This window comes from Homo sapiens, chromosome 11 (assembly GCF_000001405.40).
Source record: "Homo sapiens chromosome 11, GRCh38.p14 Primary Assembly".
In the NCBI taxonomy this organism is placed as follows: Eukaryota; Metazoa; Chordata; class Mammalia; order Primates; family Hominidae; genus Homo; species Homo sapiens.
In genome coordinates, this window is record NC_000011.10 from 124,302,613 (window position 1) to 124,327,762 (window position 25,150).

The window sequence follows — 25,150 nt, forward strand, 5'->3', positions numbered from 1 at the left end:
ACTATTTCTCAATATGTTGAGATTCTCTTTCAGGTCTATAGCCATAAAACTGATAGCTTCCTCAGAAGTGCATATACATCTTTGCCTGTACCCATTTTAGGAAAAAAAAAATCCAAGCCCTTAAAGAAGAAAGGGCTTCATAGTTTTCAAGTCAGATGAATCATAACAAATGATATTGTATCAAATTTATAAAGATTTACAGTTTTATTTATTCACATATTTAACTTATCTTACTCTCATAACGGTTTTATAAGAAAGGAAGAATTGGAGTAGTGTGATTTCTTTACAAATGAGTATATGCAGGAATGCAGTTTCACAAGTGAATCTGGAGCCAGGGCTTCCTGTCTCCTGATTTACTCATGAACTCCTTACTAGGAAGGAATAAGGAGACCAAAACTACAGACAGTTCAGAAATGAGTCTGTATTAATCCGTTTTCACATTGCTATAAGGAACTGCTGGAGACTAGGTTATTCATAAAGAAGAGAGGTTTAATTGACTCACAGTTCTACATGGCTGGGGAAGCCTCAGGAAACTTACAATCATAGCAGAAGGGAACGCAGGCACATCTCACATGGCGGGAGGTGTGAGACAGAGCAGGAAAAACTACCATTTATAAAACCATCAGATCTTGTGAGAATTCACTCACTATTACAAGAACAGCATGGAGGAAACTGCCCCCATAATCCAACCACCTCCCTCTCTTGACACACGGGGATTACAGGTCCCTCTGTCGACACGTGGATGTGGACACAGGGCTAAACCATATGAGTCCTTGACATGTAGTATAGTAAACGGTCGTATTTGGCTGATTCTGTGAAGTTAAACATTGTTCCATTTGTTTATTGGCTACTGGACGTTCTGTTTTCAATGTAAATTGCTGCTTATATCTTTTGCCTGGTTTTCTATTAGGCTTTTTGTCCTTTGCTTATTAATTTGTGGGGCTTTTAAAATTATAGATATCAATTATTTTGTGTTTCAGTTATCCTTTTCTGATTTGTAGCTTGCCTTTAGCTTTATGTATGATGCCTTTTATTGTAAAGTTTTTTAATGTGGCTGTATTTATGATTCATTTTCTTTAAAAATTATGCTCACTTGAAGTCATAAAGTCCTCTGTTTTCTTATTTTTATATTATAATCATTTCAAAATAATTACATATAGCAAAATGAACAGGTATTAAGTATATAATTCAATGAGTTTTGATAAATACATTCATTCAAATAACTAGCACACCTATCAAGATAAAGAGTAGTGGTGCAAAATATGGGTTATGGGGCAAATCCAGCCCAGAGTTTAGTATTGTTTATGAGCTAATATCACTTTTTACATTTTTAAATGGTTGAAAAAAATCAAAATAAAATTACATAAAATTTAAATTTTAGTGTTTATAAATAAAATTGTATTGTACAAGACCACATTCATTCATTACAATATAATAGTTCAGTAGTTACAATGGAATCCTTATGGTCTGTGAACTCTAAACTATTTGTTATCTGGTTTTTTAGAGAAAACATGTCAGTCTCTAATGTAGGCCATTGCTATCACCTGAGAAAGTTTTTTTGTGTTTATATCCAGTATGAGTATTTACTTCTTCCAAAGAAACAATCATCATTATGAATTTTATCTTCACAGGTTTATATTGCCTATTCTTGCACTTGAAATAAATTGATTTATACTGTGTGTACTCTTGTGTTTGTGGTTTCTTGGCCTAGACATATTATTAAATGATATTCATCTGTTTGGTTGCATGCCTCGATAGATTGTCCCTTTTTATTACTAAGTGGTGTTCCATTATACATATATTCCATAATTTCCTTCTCCATTTATCAGATGACGGACATTTCTTGATTTTTTTGCTATTATGAATAAAGATTTAATAGACATTCTAGTATATTTTTATTTCTGCACTGTTTAACATTTTACACTACAACATGTAAAATTTGAGAGATGCCATTTCTCTGAATCCTCTCCAATACTGGATATTTTAATCTTTTAAATTTTAACCCTTCTAGTGGGTGTGTAATGGTATCTCTTCATGGTTTTAATTTGAATTTTCCTGATGACTATTAATATTGAAATGGCCTAATGTATTTGTAAGCCCTAGTATACAGTTCATATAAAGTTTCTTTTACTCATTTTTTTAATAATTGGTTGTAGGAATTATTTATAAAAGTTGGATATAAGTCATTTGTTGGACACATTTGTTTTGTGTTTGTATATGTGTGTGTGTACATTATTTTTCCAGCCTGTGTGTGCACTTTTTTTATTCTAAAATAGTGTCTTTTAATAATAAAAAATTTTAAATTTTGATGGAGTCACATTTATCATTTTTCTTGGTATTCTATGTAAGAAATGTTTGACTACCTCCCAGTCACAAAGATAGCTCTTATGCTCCCTTCTGTAATCAATCTCTAGTTAGTGTGTGTGTATGGTGTCAGGCATTGAATCAGGTTCAGCTTTTGGATACAGACATCTAGTCAATCAGAACAATCTGTTGAACAGATTTTCTTTTCCTCATTGATTTCCATCAGTGCGTATGCCTGAAAATAATAAAGATAGACAATAGAATATAGGGTACAAAGTAGGTCCCTATATAGATGGTCAGTTGATCTTAACAAAGGAAAATGTCAAGGCAAGTTGATAGTGCTATGATGCATGCAAATCATGGTGAATCTGAAAGTAATTATGCCGAATAAAAGACATCAAGTAAAGAGTATATACTGTATGGCCTTATAAACACAAAATTCTTGGAAATGCTAATAATCTACAATGACAAAAGTGGATTCATGATTGCCTAGGAAAGGGTGGAAAAAGGTTGAGGGAAGGATTATAATGGAGTATGAGAAAAGTTTGTATACAGTTCAAAAAAAAAAGAAAATGACCAATTGTACAAGTCAATATAGTGGGTACTTCTTGAAGATGGGTATTGACTCGGGAAAAGCAAAAGGGGGCCTCCAGGAGTGATGCTAATATTCTATATCTTTACCTGGAGAGTCACTAAATAGATATAAACATCATTAGCAATTTAAAGAGCTATACTCTTGGTGCATTTTCTGTGTATACATATATAAAATTCATTAAAATGCAGTGGAGGAATATCTTAAAAACTGATTGGAGTAGAAGATAAAGCCCTTTGAATCCCCTGTATTCAACACAGACACACAAAAATAATGTTAAAACACCCCTAAAACATTATCCTCATTTATTTTATGCTACACACTTCTTTCAATATGAAAAGAAAGAATGTCTGTTAAAGCACTACGGATTTTTCATTCAAGCCGTCATACATATCAGTATCATTTATCATGCCCGTCTTCTTAACTTACTATATACTTTGCATATTGTCCCTGCCAGTACTATTTCACAAAATTATTTTAATGATACCATATTTATTCTACTGGATATCTGAATCTTACTCAAACCTATAACTTTGAAGAACATTTAACTCAATTCATTATTTTGTTACTGTCAATATATTTATAGCTCTGCCTTTGACAATGTCACTTTTATTTCTTAAGTATGCATGCCTAGAAATTGAATAACGTGGTAAAATTGTGTGGAATTATTTGGCGTATATTATTTGATATATATTATCAACCTGTCTTACAGAAATTAATACAGTTATCTATATATATTATCATTCTTGTTTACCTCACCTTTAAGATTTATTAAAATATTATTTACCATTTCACAGGTAAATAAGTATATGACTTATTTTATTTGAATTTTTATTTTTAGTATGGTTGACCAAGTTTAATAGCTACTATATATATATAATGAATATTATATATATAATATTCATATAATATTCACAGTGAAACTTCTGCATACTTTTCTATGGGATATTAATCTTTTTTGTATTAACTTCAAATCACCATTTACGTATTTTTATTTTGGTCAGCTAAAATTCTTTTTCTCTTCTCCATTGTCCTTATTTTCCCTTCTGTAGTAAGACAAAAACATCCTAATAGTGTGCTGATGAGGGTTTTTTCAGCAGAAAAAGGATTTTGTGTCACTTTTCTTAAGAGTTACTTCGAATTTCCCAATTATAATTTTGAATCTTCTGTATTTCTTGATTCTACTTTTCTCTAAAATAGCCTTGCCATTTTTTTTACTCTTAACTGATTGGAATCTGTTTTTCTAAATCCTAGGGTATATGTAGGAAGAATGAGACACCTCTCCTGGCTTCTGATGTTCCCATCCCTGAGGAGGAACACCTATTACTCTAATACTCCCGCCTCTGTTTCACACCTTTACTCACTTTCCCCAGGAAGGTGGGATGACTTTTCTGATGATTAGTTGTGAAAAAGAAATGGTTCTCTTTTTTGTTGTTCTTTTTGAGAGTTAGCATATTTTAGAAACAATATATCCTTGGTTATCCTTGCCTATGAAATTCTACCTCTACTAATAGAGACCTACAGGGATCCAGCATTTTCTATGGTTCAAGTGGCAATTTTGTCTAATGCTAGAGCTTGGTATTAAGAAATTTATTTGCCCCAAAATATACCTTGCCAAACAACCAGTATCTGGTGGTTTGGACCAGGGTTATGAAGAACTTAACAGCAAAAGTAGATTTAAGTACAAAAGTGTACTTACAAGTTTGGGACTTTCCATGAGGAGAGAGGATTTTGACCTCAGGAGCATGCAGTGACATTTATTTTGCAATATTTTATAGTTTACAGTTTATGTGTAACTTTTAACTGTAGTGATCCCAGCAGGCAGCTGTGGTTCCTGACCTCTGACAATGTAAGATTTTAACTTCCACTGGTGCATATACAGAAGAGTTGTTTACAAATAAGTGAATAACTTTAGAAGAGCACAGATTCATTCCCCTGGAGATCATGCTGCTAGTGCTAGGCCCTAAGCAAAAGGCAAATGCCTCAGGAAAGGCTGTCTTCTGAAAAATGTGAGCAAAGTGAGGCTCCACAAAGCCCTGGGTCCTATAATCCTAAGTAATTGTAGGCTGGATAGTTTGAGCAACCTTAGCAACTGCGAAAGCCACTTAAGAATCAGAAAATATTGGTGCAGCTTAAAATTGAACACAAAGGGGAAGCTTTTTTCAAGAAAGTCATGATATGATTATAGGGAAAAGAGAATATTTTCATATAAAGGTATTTTAGACACAGGGGATGGGATAATAATTGGTTATTTTCACAGTTTTCCAGCTTGTCCACATGCTTGAGGGTTAACTCTCACCAAATGGTCTCAAGCTCTCCCTGGATTTGTTAAATGTATAAGTTCTGAGCAGGGCTACAAATACCCATCTTCTAAATTGGAGCTTTCCCTTTAAAGGGGTGGTAGATTTCACTCATGAACCAAAAAATAAAAAATAAAAATAAAAATAACGGGGGAAGAGGGTCTTAGCATAAAAATAATATTGCATCTAAATATACTGAGAAAGAGAAACAGTTCAATTGAATTATTGCAAAGCTAACAACTAAGAATACAGTTTTAAAATCTGGGTTTGGAACACCCTGTTTCTAAGAATCAAATCTGCTTAGAAAATAAAGTGATTTAGAAAGAATGCTTCAGTTTTATAACCCTAACAAGAGCAGAAGAAAAATGAGACTAAAAGTAAAATAAGTTAATTAAACTGGAATAAGAGAGAGAAGAGGACAGGTTAGAAAACTATGTGGCACCAAATGATAATTTGAAGGTCAGGATCCTGGATTCAGAAAAGTGTTAATTGCACTATTAAAGCTGCTGAAAAAGAGTAAGTACTATGTGTCCCCCTCAAAAAGATCTTAAGGAATGGGAGGACTTGAGAAGATATAGGCACTGTATCTGAGAAACTCTAAGATAACATTAAAAAATATTAGAGCAAGGCATACAGAAGAGAAGATGTATTAAGGGGAAGGTGAGCAAGGCCACGGTAAATGTTTAGGACCTGGTTCAACAAACTGATAGGAAGATGTATTCTGGGTGAGATTATCAAAATGTAGGAGCTAAAGGTAGACAAGCTTTGTTAGAACAGTAGGATTTTGGTAGATACAAAATTTACTGATTTCTTATTTCTTGCTTGGAATGATTCTTTAAGCTAAAATCTAGAGTATTAGGTTGTAAAAATTATTTTGGCAAAAACAAAGAAAAAGTAAAGGGAGAAAGGCAACTAATTTCAGCAAACACTAATGGTTTAATATGTGATATAGAGTGAAGAAAACTAACTTGATATGGAAGTTAAAATGCTAGAAATTCAATGGAATATTCCTGGGAAGAAGAGAAAACAGCTGAGGGATGCAGAACAGTAGAGGCATCTTATTACTACCCAGCAACATACAAAAGCTAAAAACAAAAACAGAAGGAAATGTTACATGAGACCTAAGACCTGTGAAAACCCAAGAAAAGCATTGTATACAGAGCTCTTGGTACCTACTTTTACTGTAAGGTCACATGCTCAAAAACATGGACCACAGCTTCAGTTCAGGAATCTGCAGAGGACAGTTCTCCAACTGAAACAAATGTGGGGGTTATATCTTCCCTATGAGGAAGGTTTTTCAACCTTAGGCAACTCCATTGCAATAGATAGTGAAAACACATGGTCAGAGGTCCCTTAGTGTAGAACTGTGGTGTTAAAGTAGATATACAAATACAAAAAAAACAAAACCAGATCCATGAAGAACAACAAGGAAATGAAAATAAAGAGATTTTTAATATACTGAGTAGAAAAAAAAATAGTAAAAGCGATTCGAATAAGACCTGCTGACTAGAATTGCCATTCTTGTTCTTAACTTTTTCTTTTCTTTTCTATTCTTTCCTTTTCTTTTCTTTTTTCTTTTCTTTTCTGTTCTTTTCCCTTGTGTATTTGTCTAATTCCCTGAAGAATTAATAGATATCTGGGATCAGGCTAACATACCTCTTAGCATTCATATCAGTGGACAACTCAGTACCTCCCACATAGCAAGTATTCAACAAGCAAACATGGGATATTAGGAAGAGAGGACTAACATTGGAGAAAATCTGAATTCTCATGTCTTTTCTATCACAATTGGTAAAAGAAATTAAAACTACCTAGACCTTAGTTTTCCTATCAAAAGATAAGAATGTTAATACCTGCTTTACACAATTCTTTTATTTTGTTGAGAAAGTTGAATCAATCATAGATGGGAAAGTATTTTTAAAATCTAGATATTATGTATGTTACAACAGAAGAACATGAAAATAGAAAAAAGGAATATATGTTCATTGGAACTATTCATTTTTCCCATCTATAAATCCCCCAAATCAGGACTCATTTTCCTACTAAGACCTTCCTTAATGCTTTCTTCACATCCTTATTCCTCAGACTGTATATTAAAGGGTTCAGCATGGGGATCACCGTGGTGTAGAACACAGAGGACACCTTCTCCTGGTCCAGGGAGTTACTTGAAGGGGGCTTGAAATACATGAAGGTAATGGACCCAAAGAAGATCACCACAGCCATGAGATGAGAGCTGCATGTTCCAAAAGCTTTGGACCGGCCCTCTGAGGAGCGGATGTGAAGGATGCTGTAGAGGATGAAGGCATAGGAGACAGCAACAGCTAGGGTGGGCACCAAGGTGTTAAACCCCGCAATGATAAAAAGTAGAAGCTCATTGAGGTGTGTGTTGGAGCAGGAGAGATTGAGGAGGGGAAGAACATCACAGAAGTAATGGTTGATAATGTGGGATTTGCAAAAGGACAGTTTCATCATGGCACTTGTATGAGTCAAGGCAGAGAGAAAGCCCAAGAAGAAGGCAGCCAGCACTAGCAGTGAGCAGACCCATGAGGACATGATCGCATTATAAAGCAGTGGGCTACAGATGGCAACATAGCGATCATATGCCATGGCAGTCAGGAGGTAACCCTCAGCCACCACAAAGACCACAAAGAAAAAGAGCTGGACCATGCACTCAGAGTAAAGGATTGTATTCTTCTTTCCTAGGAAGTTCACCAGCATTTTGGGAGTAATGACAGAGGAATAGCAGAAATCGACGAAGGACAAGCTGCTGAGGAAATAGTACATGGGGGTGTGAAGTAGAGGGCTGACTGCAATCAGGAGAATCATGCCCAGGTTGCCCACTACTGTGACCACATAGATTCCCAGGAACAGGAGGAAGAGGGGCAGCTGGAGCTCTGCTTGCTGTGTTAAACCATCTAAGACAAACTGAGCTGCCATAGAATAATTTTCCATGGTCATTCTTCTTTAGGCATTTCTGTGAAAATAGAAAGTATGAATTACCTTAACATGGACCCTCACTGCTCTTCCAAACAAAACCAAATTGCATAAGGGAGGTTGACAGCAGCTAACAGACTGAGTCATAGTTTTCATTGTCTCTAAACTTGATACCTCTGCTTTGTCTCCCTAAAGTTCCCTGGGCCTTCTCCAAGTTGGTCCAGAATTTAAGTTACAAAAAAGTACTTCCTGACTGACTCAGTAACATTTGCCTCCTGAATTTGGTAGAAAAAAAGCAAATGTTTACTTTGTGGGGAGAATTTCTGATAGCCAATTTGTCACAGTTAAACAGTAGAAGAGATTGAAGGAAGATTCAATCACTTTTTCAATTTCCCCAGTTTTCTCCTACTCAAAGGCCTGCACATATTTCTCACAATATCTGAAAACAAGGAGAGGATGACGCCTCAGCCTCGGAGAATTGAAAGTGTCTATTACTTCCAACTGGAGTGATGGTGGGCATGGGGTTGGGTGTAAGGCATCTACTCATTATGCTGAATAAAAATACCTCCAGTGTAAAAATACTGCAGAAGTGGGAGTCTCCACATAATACCTCTGGCCCTCTGCTAAGCTGGAGAAGGGTGGGGGAGGCAAAAGCTTCATCATTGGAATCACTGATGAGAACAATCTCTTGTAACCCAGGTGTTCATCTATAAAGTTCACAGAGTCTTATCGGACCTCAACTATTGCCAGAAGAGTTGGCTGGCTGGAATCCTAGCAGTGAACTACTTCCCCCCTGACTTACGAGATCCGCACACCCCACAGAACAGACCTTACGGTGGCAGGAAAAGGTGCTTCTGAAGGTGTCTGAGAAGAATGTTGCTATGGGTGTAAATCTTGAACTTTCCAAAGCGTGGTACCCTTGGTGGTTTGGGCCCTGGATACAAAGAAATAAAAGAGAATGCTGTACTTTTCCCAGAAGAAGCACTAGAATCTAGTTGGTCCACCCTTTTCAACATGAACTGGCTCCCTGGTGGAGCCATTTCAGAGGAGTGTGTGTGTTGTCAGGTGCCAGTTATTCATTTAAGGCTCCAAATAGTCCAGCTAGAAAGAAACCTGTTCAGTTTTGCAAACTCAGCACTTCCAATGTCTATTTGACAACAGAAATATTGAATGAGCTTAATGAGGTGAACTATAGTCTACTCAGCAATGAATGGAAAGGTTTGGGTATCAAAGTAGGTGTATTTCAAGGGTTGACTTTACTGCAGACCAGTTTGTAACACTGGGCAAGTCATTTCATGTAAACTTCATTGTTCTAATCTGTGAAGTGGGATACCTGTTTCAAAGGTAAAATGGTAAATGTAAAGATTCATTATCTAAAAACACTTGTCAACATTTCATGTGGCACATATTGTTAAATACAATTGAACAGAGAAAAGTACATAACATCAGGAGATGAAAATACACTACCTTTGTATGAAGAAAAGACAGACACATGTGTTTCTTTGCCCTAGGTCCTTCACTTTGGTAAGAATAACCAAAATGTTTTAAACATTTGGTGCTGGTTAGGTTTTAAAATGTTTGTTTTCAGATTTGGAAATTTTGAGAGGGATTTAAAGTGTTTGGCCTTTTTTGAAGGAGTTGGGGGCACTGAAGTGTTTTCATCTCCAAGGGACATGTGCTTATGAGGCCAGGAGGAAACACAGCAGAGCTATGCAAGCTGAATGGACTCTTGATCCATCTCCTAGTGACCTCAGAACATTTTTCTTTCTTTCTTTCTTTTTTTTTTTTTTTTTGAGATAGAGTTTTGCTCTGTCGCCCAGGCTGGAGTGCAATGGCGCCATCTCGGCTCATTGCAACCTCTGCCTCCCAGATTCAAGCAATTCTCCTGTCTAAGCCTCCTGAGTAGGTGGGATTACAGGCATGCACCACCAAGCTCAGGTAATTTTTGTATTTTTAGTAAAGACAAGGTTTCACCATGTTGGCCAGGCTGGTCTCAAACTCCTGACCTCAGGTGATCCACCCACCTCGGCCTCCCAAAGTGCTGGGAGAACATTTCTTTAGATGGATGAGAAGGTAGGAATTTATGTTTAATACTCTGTCCAAAATGAATACTCTACCTGGGATTGTATCTTTATCTCTTAGAAATTTGAGCCAGGCGTGGTGCCTCATCCATGTAATCCCAGAACTTTGGGAGGCTGAGGTGAGCGGATCACCTGAAATCAGGAGTTCAAGATTAGCCTTGCCAACATGGTGAAACCCTGTCTCTACTAAAAACACAAAAATTATCTGGACGTGGTGGTAAGCATCTGTAATCCTAGCTACTCGGGAGCCTGAGGCAGGAGAATCGCTTGAACCTGGGAGGCAGAGGTTGCAATGAGCCAAGATCGTGACACTGCACTCCAGCGCGGGTGACAGAGCAAGACTCCATCTCGAAAGGAAAGAAAAAGAAGGAAGGAAAGAAAGAAAGAAAGAAAAGAAAGAAGGAAAGAAAGAAGGAGGGAGGGAGGGAAGGAAGGAGGGAAGGAAGGAGAGAGAGAGAGAAAGAAAAAAGGAAGGAAGGAAAGAAAGAAAAGAAAGAGAAAAAGGAAAGAAAGAAAAAGAGGAAAGAAAAAGAAAAAAAGAAAGAAATTTGTATGTGTAGGATGGTGTGCAAGAAGACAAGTAACACTAATAAATACGTAAGCCAGAAGAATTTCAGGGAAGCAAACACTTCAGTCATATGGAAATTCCTGCACCAGAGCTGGTTGAACTTAGACTAGGAATCATTCCTGCAGATTTTGTGACCCAGGTTATAAAGAAGTGACAAGGCAAAATCAATAGAAGAGGAGAAGGGAGGACATAACCTAGAGGAGAGAACAGTGGGGCAGGTGCTCCTCAGTAAAGAGAAAATGTTGCACAAGGGTCAGCACGGTTGTTAATCGCCAATTGCCCTTGCATTAGATATAATATGATGGTCATAAAGGAGATGGGACACTTACCTTGGTCCTGCACAGAAACAGAATTTCTTAGGAATTGTTCACTTTGCTCAGGTCGCAGATCCCTGTAATAGCCAACAAAGAACAAAGTCTTTCCCACTACCTTATACACACATTTATATGCCAAGGGCTGAATTATTTGGTTGGCTAAAAGTAAAACATCAAAATTTATTAAATAGTACAAACAACTCTTGGACCTTGAAGCAGATCATGATATCCAGCTCCCCCAATCTTAAAAGCAAGAGGGCGGCATGATATGCAGCTTTCATCTGAGGTTTAGTGAGCTTAGGGATATCATTAGGAATAAAAACACACCCATACACACACAAATCCCCCAAGACCTATTGAGCCCAGAGATTACTGGTGTGCCCAACATTTAATAACCCTCTGCAGAAATGATCACATCATGTCCTGGGCCCCCTATTGCCGTTTATCCCAAGAGTGTTGGAGGTCCTGAAAGAAGTTTCTTATTTTATTTTTAATGTTACCAATAAGGATTCTGTAACACAGAGGAATTAGATCAATGATTCCCAAAATTGATTCCGAAGTCAGTTGCTGGTTCTTGACTAAAAGTTCATCAATGAGTAAAAATTGTTTTAAACTGAAGAAAAACAAAGACAACATAATATTTTTTCTAAAACTAAACTTATTCAATTCAAAGGCTGTCCTTTTCTGAGGTTGTCAATTTTACCTCTTTAAATGTTTTGGGATTCGAAATATTCTTTCATTTTATTGTATGGTTCTGACAGTAGATAATAGTTATGTCTTTTGGTTGCTTGCTTATTTATTTTTACATTGTATTTGAATGCCTTTACTTGGAAAACCAAATTTTTGGCAACCCTATTGTGGTCTCTCATTGCAATTATATTGTCTTGGGGCTGGGCGCAGTGGCTCACGCCTGTAATCCCAGCACTTTGGGAGGCCAAGGCAGGTGGATCACTTGAGGTCAGGAGTTTGAGACCAGCCTGGCCAACATGGTGAAAACCCATCTCTACTGAAAATACAAAAATTAGCCTGGCGTGTTTGCACATGCTTGTAATCTCAGCTATTCCGGAGGCAGGAGAATCGCCTGAACCTGGGAGGTGGAGGTTGCAATGAGCCGAGGTTGTGCCACTGCACTCCAGCCTGGGTAAAAGAGCAAGACTCCATCTCCAAAAAAAAAGGAAATTATATTGTCTTGGGAAAGCCAAATTCTGAGAACTGTAAAGTTGGTTACCATAGATAAGCAACATAGAATGTCCTGGTTGTCCTTCCTGTGAAAGAGTTCAGATCAGAAATCTTCTACGATCCTGAGAAATATCTTCCATGGAATCTTTTCCACTGAACCAATTTTTAATTACCAGAATTCAGTAATCGTTCAGCCTCTGCTCCTGTACTATTCCCTGTGACTGCAGTTTATGTCACTCAATGGCTTAAAAAGCTTTAATCTATTCCACCCTGTCCAGGGTACCTCCCATTCCAGGTCACATGAGTTCTATGCTTTCCTGATGTAGAGCCACCGTCAAAGGGGATGTAGCTCTTAAGAGCCACCTCAACATTTTTGTATTGGTCCCGCCAGAAATAAACAGGATTTCCCCAGTGACTCACTTCTTTAATGAAGTCAGCTATAAAGCATCCACAGATCTCTAGTAATGTTTACACATAAAAAATATGTTAATATAGTTGATTCAGAACTGGATTTACTCAGTATCTTGTTTTAGTTTCAAATCTGCCCCAATACTAATATCATCAATTATAACAACTACTCCTTTTTATAGTATCATAATTAGTAATACTGCTTATAGATGCTCACTGTGTAGTGGGCATTGAACTAACCATATATATATATATTATATATAATTATATATATAATGTTCATTTAATTAAAATAAATATGTGTCTCTAAGGAAGTCATTGAGACTCTAAGACTTAGATTCCTTATCAATAAAATAATCAGAATTAAGTAAATTATTTTTCAAATTTCTTAGTGCTAGAACTTTTATGATGAGAAAAACTTATACTAGAAGCAGAAGGATTTTTTTTGTAGTTCAACTATTCTTTGATTCAGAATTCATGGTAAAAATGTTTTCAATTTCGTACCAATAATTGTTTATGATGAAAAGAGAGAAATAATCCTGGTTGGCATTTAGGAGACTCAGACTTTTATCTCGGTTTTATAGTTACTATCTGTGGAAAAGGCAATTTAACCTTGTCAAACTTTAATTTTCTCATCTGTAAAATATTCCTCATTTGCCTCACAGGGAAGTCATAAAGTAATATATATTACAAAATGCAGTTTGAGGCTGGACATGGTGGCTCACATCTGTAATCCCAGCACTTTGGGAGGCCAAGGCAGGCAGATCACCTAAGGTCAGGAGTTTGAGACCAGCCTGACTAATATGGTAAGACCCCATCTCTACTAAAAATACAAAAATTAGGCGTGGTGGCAAGCACCTGTAACCCCAGCTATTCAGGAGGCTGAGGCAGAAGGATCGCTTGAACCCGGGAGGCGCAGGTTGCAGTGAGGGAGATCATGCCACTGCACTCCAGCCTGTGACAGAGAGATTCCATCTCAAAAAAAAAAAAAAAAAAAAAAAAGCCATTTTAACTGGAGCGAGATGATATTTCATTGTAGTTTTGATTTGCATTTTTCTGATGATCGGTGATGTTGAGCACCTTTTCATATACATGTTGTCATTCTTATGTCTTCTCTTGAGAAATTTATTTCAAATGTTTTGCTCTTTTTAAAATCAGATCATTAGATTTTTCCCATAGAGTCATTTAAGCTCCTTATATATTCTGCTTATTAATCCCTTTTCAGTTGGATATTTGGCAAATATTTTCTTCCATTCTGTGGGTTATCTCTTCACTTTTGTTGATTGTTTCCTTTGCTGTGCAGAAGCTTTTTAATATGATGTAATCCCGTTTGTCCATTTTTGCTTTGGTTGTCTGTGCTTATGGAGTATCCCTCAAGAACTATTTGCCCACTCCAATGTTCTGAGAATTTCCCCAATGTTTTCTTTTAGTAGTTTCATAGTTTAAGGTCTTGTATTTAAGTCTTTAGTCCATTTTGATTTTATTTTTGTATATGGTGAGAGACAGGGGTCAAGTTTCATTCTTTTGCGTATGGATATTCAGTTTTCCAGCATCAAGTATTGAACAGACAATCCTTTCCCCAATGTATGTTGGCTCTTTTGTCAAAAATGAGAATATGTATGGATTTGTTTCTGAGTTCTCTATTCTGTTCCATTGGTCTTTGTGTCTGCTTTTATACAAGTACCATGCTCTTTTGATTACTATAGCTTGTTGTATAATTTGATTCCTCCAGTTTGGGAGGTAATGTGGTTCCTCTAGTTTTGTTCTGCTCAGGATAGCTTTGGCTATTCTATATCTTTTGTGGTTCCACATACATTTTAGGATTGTTGTTTCATTTCTGTGAAAAAATGCCAGTGATATTTTGATAGGGATTGCACTGAATTGGTAGATTGAGTGCAATGGGTAGTATGAACATTTTAACAATATTGATTTTTCCAGTCCGTGAACTTGGAATAACTTTTTATTTGTGTGTGTGTGTGTGTGTGTGTGTGTGTGTGTGTGTGTGTGTTCTCTTTCTTTCATCGATGTTTTATAATTTTCATTGTAGAGATATTTCACTTCTTTGGTTAATTTCTAGGTATTTTATTTGAGTTGTAGGTATTGTAAATAGGATTACTTCTTAAATTTCTTTTTCAGATTGCTCACTGTTGGCATGTAGAAATGCTACTGATTTTGTATGTCAACTTTATATCTTGCAACTTTACTGAGTTTGTTCAGTAGTACAAAATGAATTTAAACTTTTCTGAACAATTTGAACTTCTCTGAAAAGTTCAAAAAGTCCAGAAAAAAAGTTCAAATTGAATTTGAACTTTTCCAAATCAGTTCTAATAGTTTTTTTTGGTGGCATCTTTAGGCTTTTCTAAACATAAGATCATGTCATCTGCAAGCAACGATAACTTGACTTCTTCCTTTCTAATTTGGATGCCCTTTCTTTCTCTTGTCTGATTGCTCTAGTTAGGACTTCCAAACAATTAGTTCTGATTTATGGGAACTTGTAAAGTGGAAGAAAAAGAGAAAGGGAATAAAAGAGATTATAGGAAAGGGGGAGTAGGCATGTTCAGATAGTGGAAAGGATAAAAAGAGATGGAATAGAAAGTATCAGAAGGTGATGAAATGAATGGATCATAAAACCTCAGTGTTAGCAATGAACAAAGGGATCAGTTTGGTCATATTCTTAGCCAGCATTTGATTCTTCTCAGAAATATTCCAGACAGAATGGTTGAATATTCTGTCTGGAATATGTACTTAAATCCCTACTGCTGGATAGTTCATAAATTCCCAAGATAGCTAATTATTTTTTGATAGTTCTGATTTTTGGAAGAGTCTTCTTTAGCCTACTTGTGCTCTGTGGCAAGAACTACTAAAACCTCAATAACTAGCCTACAGCCCTTCTGTGTGTAACTCCTATGTGTAACTTAATTATCCTCTAATATCTGTGAGCAATTTCTATCCTCTTGGCTTTATTTTCTAAGACATTTTATGATCTGAGATTCTATGATGTATTTTTCTCCCTGTTTATTGCCTTTCTTTCAGGCTAAAACCTAAATCTAATGAAGGCAAGGAGTTTGTGACTTTTGTTCATCTCTTTATCACCAGTATGAGGAATAGTGACAGGTATGTAGTGGGCATTCAATGAGTATTCCTTAAATGAATGACCCAAAGAATAAACAAATCAATGAATGTGTGATTTCAAGTTGCTTCATCATGGCCATGCGTCTCAGAATATATTTCAGAATGCCAGTGGCCTCTTAAATAGTAATATCAACAAAGTAAATTACTTTCAAGTGGACACAGTCTAATTGCTGTTGTGCAAGTGATAACTAGAATGTTCCTCATTCTAAATACTAAAATGTAGCTAATGCAGACAAGGTAACAGTAACTTTCTAGGTAGTTATGCTTTTTACTTATATTGTCAAAAATCCTTAATTCTCTGGAGTTAAATAAAGTTTTTCCCACTCTCTCCATTTTTATAGAAGTATAGAATCTTATATTACCCATGTACATTTTTAAAATCTCATTAAATGCGACTATCACTCCAGCCTTTAAAAGTCTTTGTGAATCATGCTCTGTCATCCATTAAATCAACTATTTCAAGGCTGAGGATCGTGACTCAGGCTTCTAATTCCAGCACATTGGGAGGCCAAGTTTGGAGGATTACTTGAGGCCAGAAGTTCAAGACCAGCCTGGGCTTTCAAAAGTAATATGTTCAATAAATTGTTTTTAATGTTTATTTGCCCTTCCTCTTCTGTCATCTCCCATTTCTCTAATACATTTTCGAAGATTATATTGACCATCAGAAAATTTTGTTTCATAATCTCCAAAAATGTCTTAATCATTCTCTAATATAAAATATACATTTTTAAGTGATGATAATTTTTCTCTCTCCGAGAGAGACAGAAACTTACAAAGATCCTATAACAACTTTTTATATGGTTTATTTTTTCTGGCTGCCAATGAGAACCCTCTTTGTCAGGATGACTGCCTTCCCCTAGTCATCTTCTTCAGTGCATTTTTCACATCCTTGTTCCTCAGGCTATAGATTAGAGGATTCAGCATGGGGATTATTGTGATGTAGAACACAGAAGACACCTTCTCTTTTTCCATAGTAGTGCTGGAAGGGGGCTTGAAATACATGAATGTTATAGACCCAAAAAAGATGCCCACAGCCAAGAGATGGGAGCTACAAGTGCCAAAGGCTTTGGATTGCCCCTCAGTGGAATGAATACCAAGGATACTAGAGAAAATGAAAGCATAAGAGATAAGGACCGCCAGTGTAGTTGCTAAGGTATTAACTCCTCCAATAATGAACAGCAGAATCTCATTGATGTGGGTGCTGGAGCAAGACAGAGTCAATAAGGGGAGAATATCACAAAAATAATGACTGACCGTATGAGACCTACAGAATGACAACACTGACATGCGGGTAGTATGGACTGTGGCCCACAGAAAACCCAGTGAGTATACCACAGCCATCATTATGGAACAGACCCTGTGGGACATGACAATATTGTAAAGCAGTGGGCGACAGATAGCAACATAACGGTCATATTCCATGGCTGTCAGAAGGTAGCCTTCTGCAATTACAAAAATAAGGAAGAAATAAAGTTGAGTAATGCATTCCAGAAAGGAGATAATGTTCTCCTCTGGAACAAAGTTCACCAGCATCTTAGGGGTAATGACAGAGGAGTAGCAGAGATCAATGAAAGACAAATGACTGAGAAAATAATACACTGGAGGGTAAAGTTGAGAACTGAGAGCAATTAAGAAGATCATGCCCAGGTTCCCCACCACTGTGACCACATATATTCCAAGGAACAGGAGGAAGAGTGGCAGTTGAAGTTCTGGGCGTTGTGTCAAGCCTGCCAGGATAAACTCAGCCCCTGAAGAATGGTTTGAAGTAGCCATGTCTTTTAAGGTATTATGTGTAATAAGAAATAAGAGAAAAGAGAGACATTAGATTTATTTTCTGATTCCCAAAGCAGAATGACATGCCCCATGTTGGTTGCTTCCATTCCTGAGAGCCTCATCTGTCCCATGATTGCCTCTTTTCAGGGACCTCTTACAAGATCAAGGGCAAATATTATGAGTATAACCAAGAACCTTGATTTCACCCAAAACCCTGTTGAATGCTCCTCTTTTAGTAAGAGTCCTCCCATTTTGTTTCCAGGCTTATGCCCATAATTACCTCACTGCTGGAGGAAGCACAAACTTTCCAAATCTAATTAGTTTGTCATTGCTACCATTAAAACAACACTGCTTACCTTCTTTATCTGAGCATATGCCAATAGAACCTTCAGACTTTGTTACAACATGGCTTCTAATCCAGCTCTGATGATATAAAAGTAGTCCATTTCAGTTTCCTTACCCATCAACATGAATCAACATAATTAGCATTTGCTAAAACTAGGAAATAAGAAACATAAAAGACGTCTATAAAGAGACCTTAGTACAAAAAAAAAAAGTATGGAAATGGTTCTAATCAATTCTGACCCTCATTAGCTCACTTCTGTTCTTTGAATGGAAAACTTGAGTGGGCCAGGAGATTCTTGTACTCAGTGTGGATGTGGTTGACAGAAATGTTGTGCCAAGGGCTATCCTGAGATTCTAGTTTAGATCTTTCCTGTTCCAGAAACAGCAAAGAAGCAAAGAAGTAAGGCTGACTTTCAGGTGTAAGACCTGAACCATCAGCAACTCAGCGCTTCCCTCCTTGGCCCTTTCCTGCTATCCATTATTCATGGCCAAACTCTCACTGACCTTTCTCTTTCAAAGCTGTGAGATCTGAACTGGAGATTTCTTATTCCCTGACTTCGTTTCCCCTAAAGTTTAAGCAAAGGATTCAGGGTGTGTTGCTTTCAGCTGAAACACTGTATATTACCTAAGACATCAGGTTTCATAATTTTTTTCCAAAGTGAGAAAAAATGTCAAGGGAGGAAAAACTCCATACATAGAGTGAGATGTTGTTTGCTTTTATTTTGCATAAAAACATATTTTTATGATCACAAACAAAAATTTATAAAAATTTGCTTCTACAGTGTTTTAAGGGTACTCAATATGTATATCGATTTAAAAGCTGACAGGTGGGGTGTTATCTCCAAGAGCACTTGAGAAGACAGCCATGTTTCTGAATTAGGGGAATTAGAGAATACTCTAAGAGAAAGAGAATCAGAGTTACCAGAATGCAACTCTAACAAGCCCTGTTACGGGAAGTTCAGGAATTCTAGATTTTTAGCCTTACTTGGAAAAATATTCTACCAAATGACTGAATTAGCCAAAAAGAGAATTTGTTGAAGAAAAATAGCAGAGAGCTTATTTAGAGAGAGACAGTACACTCTGGAAAGGTGAGACAGAGCTGGCTGCTGAAGGGGAGTGAGCCAGCAGCAGCTTGAGAGTTCTGCACTGGGTTTTTGAGATGATGTCCGACACTTTCTTGAAGTTCCCACCTCTGTCGTGAGCCTCTGCCTTTTCCTTTGTCCAGGTTCCTGCTTCTGCCTTAAGTCCCCTTCTCTTCCCTGCCTAGTTCCCATGCCAGGCTTGTGGAACCCTCCCTTACTATTGGCTGATGTGCATGCATGGACCCTGTGTTGGATATGAATCCTGCCTAACAGCCGCATTGCCACCCAAGGGAGGCTGCTTAATAATAGGTCTAGTGATTGAAGCACATTCTTTCCTATATCCGTAACATTTCTATATTGATATATTCCCAAATTATTTTCATCACAGAACTATCACAAATAATGCCTAGAGTATTTCTTTTAGAAAAGACTATCTCAATAAAGTAGAAAGGTTAAGAATTTAAAATTACGTGCTATGGAATGAGAACTTTACCCTCTTTATTACTCATTAAGCTAAGCATAATGATATATAACATACTACTTTTTTTACTTTAAATTCTGGTGTACATGTGCAGAACGTGCAGGTTTGCTACATAGGTATGCATGTGCCATGGTGGTTTGCTGCACCCCAAATGCATTAGGTTTTAAGCCCCAAATGCATTAGCTGTTTGTCCTGATGCTCTCCCTCTACAAATTTATACCATGAGATTGTATTTATACTTTCTTCTCCCACAGACATCAAGAGTAATGACTACATTTATCATCTGGTGTGGTAAAGACAATCATCTCTTCCTTGCTATGATCTGAATTACTCTAAGTTTTTTAAAAGTGTTACCCTACCTCTGCCGATTCTCCTTTCTGTGAGCCATCTGTACTAGGAAGTTGTTCCCACATACTGAGGCCTTATTCTCAATCTTGTTCATGGATTAGTTTACTGTTCACTTGAGTATAGCTGTAATCAAAGTTTTATAACCTTATTGTATTGTGAAATTTAGCTTAAATACATATATAAAAATGTAGAAAATATATATACTTCCACCTACTATAAAATGAGCAGCTTTAACCACCATGCAGATCTATAAATAGAATATCACCAGCACCCCAGAGCCCTCTATGTGCCCCCTTTTTATTGTAGCTCCATCCATCCTTCCATTCTCTATCCTGATTCTATTGCAATCACTCTCTGGTTTTCGTTATAGCTTCATCACCTAAGTGTGGCTTCATTGGTTATCTGCATCTAGCCCAGAAAAGGGCAAAGAGAAAGTTAAAAGGGAACAATGTAGCCCTGGAATAGCATCCATCATCTCTAAAATAGTCACATGCCACACGGCACTGCAGGAGACACTGGGAAATGTGTGTTCTGGAAGAACAGTGAACAGCAACAATCTCTGACACACTGGGCTAATCATATTGGTGCCTACCAATTATCAATGGTTGGTTATGTGTCTTTTTGAGTCTTGACTTGATGACATTTTGCTGGCTCCTTTCTTTCCCATACCCCTACTTCTATTTTACAGAATGAGGTGTTGCCCCATTCTAGAATGGCAAATAAAAGCCAATTAGAGCTTTAAATCAAATGTGTTATAATTTTATCTTTTGACAAAACTAATGTACATTCACTGTGGATTATGTGTTTAATCAAAGCTTAATGGATAATGCAGAATAATTACAGTACTTTACAGAATGGCATACAAATTCGGAATAAAATGCAGTTTCTAAAACTTCTTTGACCATTTCCCACAGAGGGACCTTGCATTTATTGGCCATGTGTCTTCTTGGGTATTAACTTAATGACATTTTGCTGACTCCTTCCTCTCCCACGCCCCTACTCTCTAAATTACTAGTACTTACACATTCAAAATTCTCCTTTTTAAAAAATTTGGCTGAAAAGTCTCCCCTCTGTTTAACCCACTCACCTTTCAACTATACCAGCTCAACAGGCCTCCTCTTTCCCAACAAAAAGAACCTTCAAATGATTTTCCTAAACATACACACAAGATAAATGGAAAAACAATACCCTACCTGAGAAAAAGTCATGTTTCATTTCAGAACTAAGCAGTCAACATTCAAAATAGCAATTTTTTTATATATTGTACTTGCTGAAATAAAATAATAGAATGAAGTAGAAGCAAAGTAAACTAGAAAGAGTAGTCAATTTAAAATCAGAAGGCTAATAGCTTATTCTAAGTTTTTTCATTAAGAAGCTGGGTGACTATAAGTAAATCAATAACCACTCTGAGCCTCCCTTTCCTGACCATGCAATAAACACATATTGAACATCTGTTATATGCTACTTTGAAGGCACAAAGGTAAATAAGAAAACTCTTTGCCAAAGGAAGCATAATGAACAGTGTTTATAGATGCAAAGTGGGTTATAATTGATAGTCTTTATGAAACTTTCAATCTCTGGCATTTAAAGGAAACATCCATTTTCTCAGTAGAGGATGTAAAGATGAGAGTTAAAATAGATTGTCTAATTCATGTTTCCAACAGCAAGTGGCAAAAAACCATCCCAATACAACAATGTTGTTCTATTGTTACTTGGTTCATTTATTGTCAGGCTATTCATTTTTTCCAGTAGAAAACAAAATGAAGTTCAAAATGGCAATGAATAAAGAAACAGGTATAATAAACTTCTTCCTCAAAGTTATTACTCAACAAGAAAAAAGTGAGAAAAATAAATTATACAATGATTAAGAAAATAGGAAGATCTACTCTATAAAAAGTACAAATAAATTATCAAGAGAATACTCCAATGTCTTTCTTTCTTTTTCTTTTTTTGTTTACTTTAAGTTCTGGGTTACATGTGCTGAACGTGCAGGTTTGTTACATAGGTATACATGTATCATGGTGGTTTGCTGCACCTATCAACCCGTCATCTAGGTTTTAAGCCCCACATACATTAGGCATTTGTCCTAATGCTCTCCCTCCTCTTGTCCCCCACCCCTGAGAGGCCCCGGTATGTGATGTTCCCCTCCCTGTGTTCATGTGTTCTCATTGTTCAACCCGCACTTATAAGTGAGAACATGTGGTATTTGCTTTTCTGTTCCTGTGTTAGTTTGCTGAGAATGATGGCTTCCAGCTTCATCCATGTCCCTGCAGAGCAATGTCTTTCTTTCTTAAGAAAGAAACAAGATAAGAAAGTTGCCACTGAAAATATTTTAATTAAACCCACAGAATCTCCTTGTCCTGTAACTATATGCATGGAGAGAGATAGTTTCAAATGGAAATTTTCTCCAACTTAGGATTTTTCTCCAGGCAAGTTTAACATCATTGTTTCTTAAGCTGTAAATTGAGGAGTTTATCATGGGAACTACATCAATGTGAAAGACAGAAGATATTTTACCTTCATTTATAGTCCCAGTTGAGGATAATTTAAGACACAATGATGCACCTAATCCAAAGAACAGAGAAATGGCAATTTTGTGGAAACTGCAGGTGCTGAAAAATTTTGACCAGCCCTCAGTGAAGCTGATAGGATAATGGAGAGGTAAAAAAATAAGAGATAAAGATGGTGATACTGGGCACAGTGAAAATGATGCCTGCTGCAATGAAAACCATCAACTCACTGACGTAGGTGCTGGTGCAAGAGAGCTGGAGCAGATGAAGGGTGTCACAGAAGTAGTGGTTGATGGTGTTTGCCTCACAGGAGGTCAGTTTCAGCATGCACCTGGTATGGGCCATGGCCCCAGAAAAGGGCCAGAAGTAGGAACCAAGCATATGGCTGGAACACACTTTAGGGGACATGGCAATGTTATACAGAAGCGGGTTACAGATGGCCATGGCCACTAGTGATCAGAGACCATTGACGTCAAAACATAGCATTCAGAAATAACAAAAAAAAAAAAAAAGAAAGAAAAAAAAGCTGACATGCAACCCGCATAGGAAATAATATTCTTCTCTGTTATGAAGTTCATCAGCATTTTTGGAATAAACACAGAAGAATAAAAGTGGTCTATAAAAGCTAAACTAAAAAGAAAAAAGTACATGGGTGCATGAAAGTATGAACTGAACACAATCAGAGTTACCAAGCCCAAATTCCCCTACCCAGCAACCACACCCATTACTAGAAACAGGAAGAACAGGGGCGGTTGGAGATCTGTCTGGTCTTTTAACCCCACCAGAATTAATTCAGCCACAGTAGAAATATTTCCAGGAGCCATTCTTCTCTATGGAAAGCTGTGGACAAAGGAGAAAAGTGTTGCATTAGAGGACAACCCAGCTCTTCCCACAGTATTTTCTCCCACAATGTGGGATATTGTTTGAAACTAGCCCAACCTGGATCCTCAGAATCTGGCTTTACCAAAGTCATGATACTTGGGTGACACTGACTTAGGCTTTTTAGAGTCTTATTAAACTAGATAGAGCAAAGAGCAGTGCCACTTTAGCCTACAGCCAGTGCTGCCATATGCAAACATGATTGCTGAAAGACCAAGGGGTAAGGGAGAAGGGTGGACTAGGACAGAATCCGCATTCTCTCATCTCATCATTTCTTCATTCACTTGCGTCCTCCCGCCTCTCATCAATAAAATTAGAGGCAGAGGCCATAGGACATACTCATTGTCATCTGTCCTTACATCTAAAATTGGCCATGTGACATAGCCACATGATTAAAGGGAGAAGGGAAGCCATCGACTAGCTTCTGGAAAGGATTCACCTCGTGATAGATATAAAGAGAGGTATGTATGGAGAGCTGTATTTCTTGTTGCCTTGTTTCCATCTTTGGGTACAGTTGTGTTTAGATGTCATTCATGGAGCTATGACAGCCATTTTGTGATTGTGAAGTGATAAGCCTGAGGTCTAAAACTAGCAGACTGAAGACAGTGGCATGAAAAGCCCTGGTTGTTGATGAGAATTGCTTAGTTGCTAAATCAATCCTAGGACACGCTCCCTCCAGATTTATTGTTACATGAGGAAAAAATAGTTCCTAATTAAAATAGGTTTTTATTGGAACATTCTATAACTTGTTGCTAGAAACTTTCCAACTGATATCATCAACTGGAGGCTACGTTCTTGAGATATTTTTTAAAAAATGCATTATTTTAAGAAATGAACACCTTGGAGGAGATGATTTTCTTTTCAATAAATATTGAAGAGTAAAACTAATTCAGTATGATGAGTAGAAGAGTTGTACAGTTTCAGGTATTAACTTTAAATAAAATCTTTGGTTCTTCTTATTAGTGTTCCTTGCTTATTATACCATTGGGGTCCTTTTTTAACTTTTAGGTTCAGGGCTGCATGTGAAGTTTGGTTATATAGATCAACTCATGTCATGGGGGTTTTGTTGTACAGATTATTTCATCACCCAGCTCTTAAGCCTAGTACCCAATAGTTATTTTTTCTGCTTCTCTCCCTCCTCAAAATCATGCAATTACATGGAAATTAAACAACATGCTCCTGGATGACTTTGGGGTAAATAAAGAAATTAAGACAGAAACCACTGTGGTCTTAAAATGTAAACATTTTCCAACTTTTTCTGTATTTTTAATTGTGAGACACTGAGTTTAAAAAAATACTAAAAGTGCTTAAAAACACTTAAACCAATTAGAATAGTCCATTCATGATGTCTTATCAGCTACATGTTGAGCATCTCAAATCTGAAAATTCAAATTTTCAAATGCTTCAAAATCTAAAACTTGTTTTTCTTTCTTTAAACTTTTTTGTATTTTTCCATAAGTTATTGGGGTACAGGTGGTTTTGATCACATGAGTAAGTTCTTTAGTGGCGATTTGTGAGATTTTGATTTACCCATCACCTGAGAAGTATACACTGCATCCTATTTGTAATCTTTTATCCCTCACCCCCCTCCCATCCATCCCCCCAAGTCCCCAAAGTCCACTGTGACAGAGCAGGAGCACCATCATCTCAGTCACTTTAAGTTCCAGCTCCCTTTCTAGCCTCATGGATTTCAAGGAAATCACTTCTCTTCTAACTACAAGAAGCCAGAAAGAGCAGACAGTAAAACACAGATAAGACAGCTCGGGCACAGAGGAAGGTGGGAGGAAAGTCTTTTGGGTAACTGCCAAACTTCAATAGTCCCCAGTAAAACAATGGGCCTTAATAAACACATTCCTTTCCCTTCAGGTATGCTAAGATAGGAAAGCTAAAAGCAGACTCATGGGGTATTCCTGCAGCTGC

General features: G+C 37.0%; 2 protein-coding genes, 1 long non-coding RNA gene and 1 pseudogene across 4 annotated transcripts; 1 reads left to right on the plus strand and 3 right to left on the minus strand.

Moving 5' to 3' along the window:
- Positions 1-218: 218 nt before the first annotated feature.
- Positions 219-11,337, minus strand: OR8D1 (olfactory receptor family 8 subfamily D member 1). The gene is made up of 3 exons (NM_001002917.2): positions 11,109-11,337; positions 8,960-9,064; positions 219-8,170 (listed from the first exon to the last, which is right to left on the minus strand). Exon 3 carries the CDS (start codon positions 8,152-8,154, stop codon positions 7,228-7,230), a length of 927 nt encoding a protein of 308 aa, NP_001002917.1. The 5' UTR covers positions 8,155-8,170; positions 8,960-9,064; positions 11,109-11,337; the 3' UTR covers positions 219-7,227.
- A 2,110-nt stretch (positions 11,338-13,447) lies between these two features.
- LOC112268069 (uncharacterized) lies at positions 13,448-20,612 on the plus strand. 2 transcript variants are annotated; one of them, XR_002957213.2, is made up of 3 exons: positions 13,448-13,486; positions 15,714-15,794; positions 20,212-20,612. It is a non-coding gene; the product is annotated as an uncharacterized LOC112268069 (long non-coding RNA). The 2 variants fall into 2 exon arrangements; XR_002957214.1 differs by lacking the exon at positions 20,212-20,612 and adding an exon at positions 16,220-16,310.
- Positions 16,650-17,585, minus strand: OR8D2 (olfactory receptor family 8 subfamily D member 2). The gene has a single exon (NM_001002918.1). The coding sequence runs from the start codon at positions 17,583-17,585 to the stop codon at positions 16,650-16,652; it is 936 nt and encodes a 311-aa protein (NP_001002918.1).
- Positions 22,177-22,795, minus strand: OR8B7P (olfactory receptor family 8 subfamily B member 7 pseudogene; annotated as a pseudogene).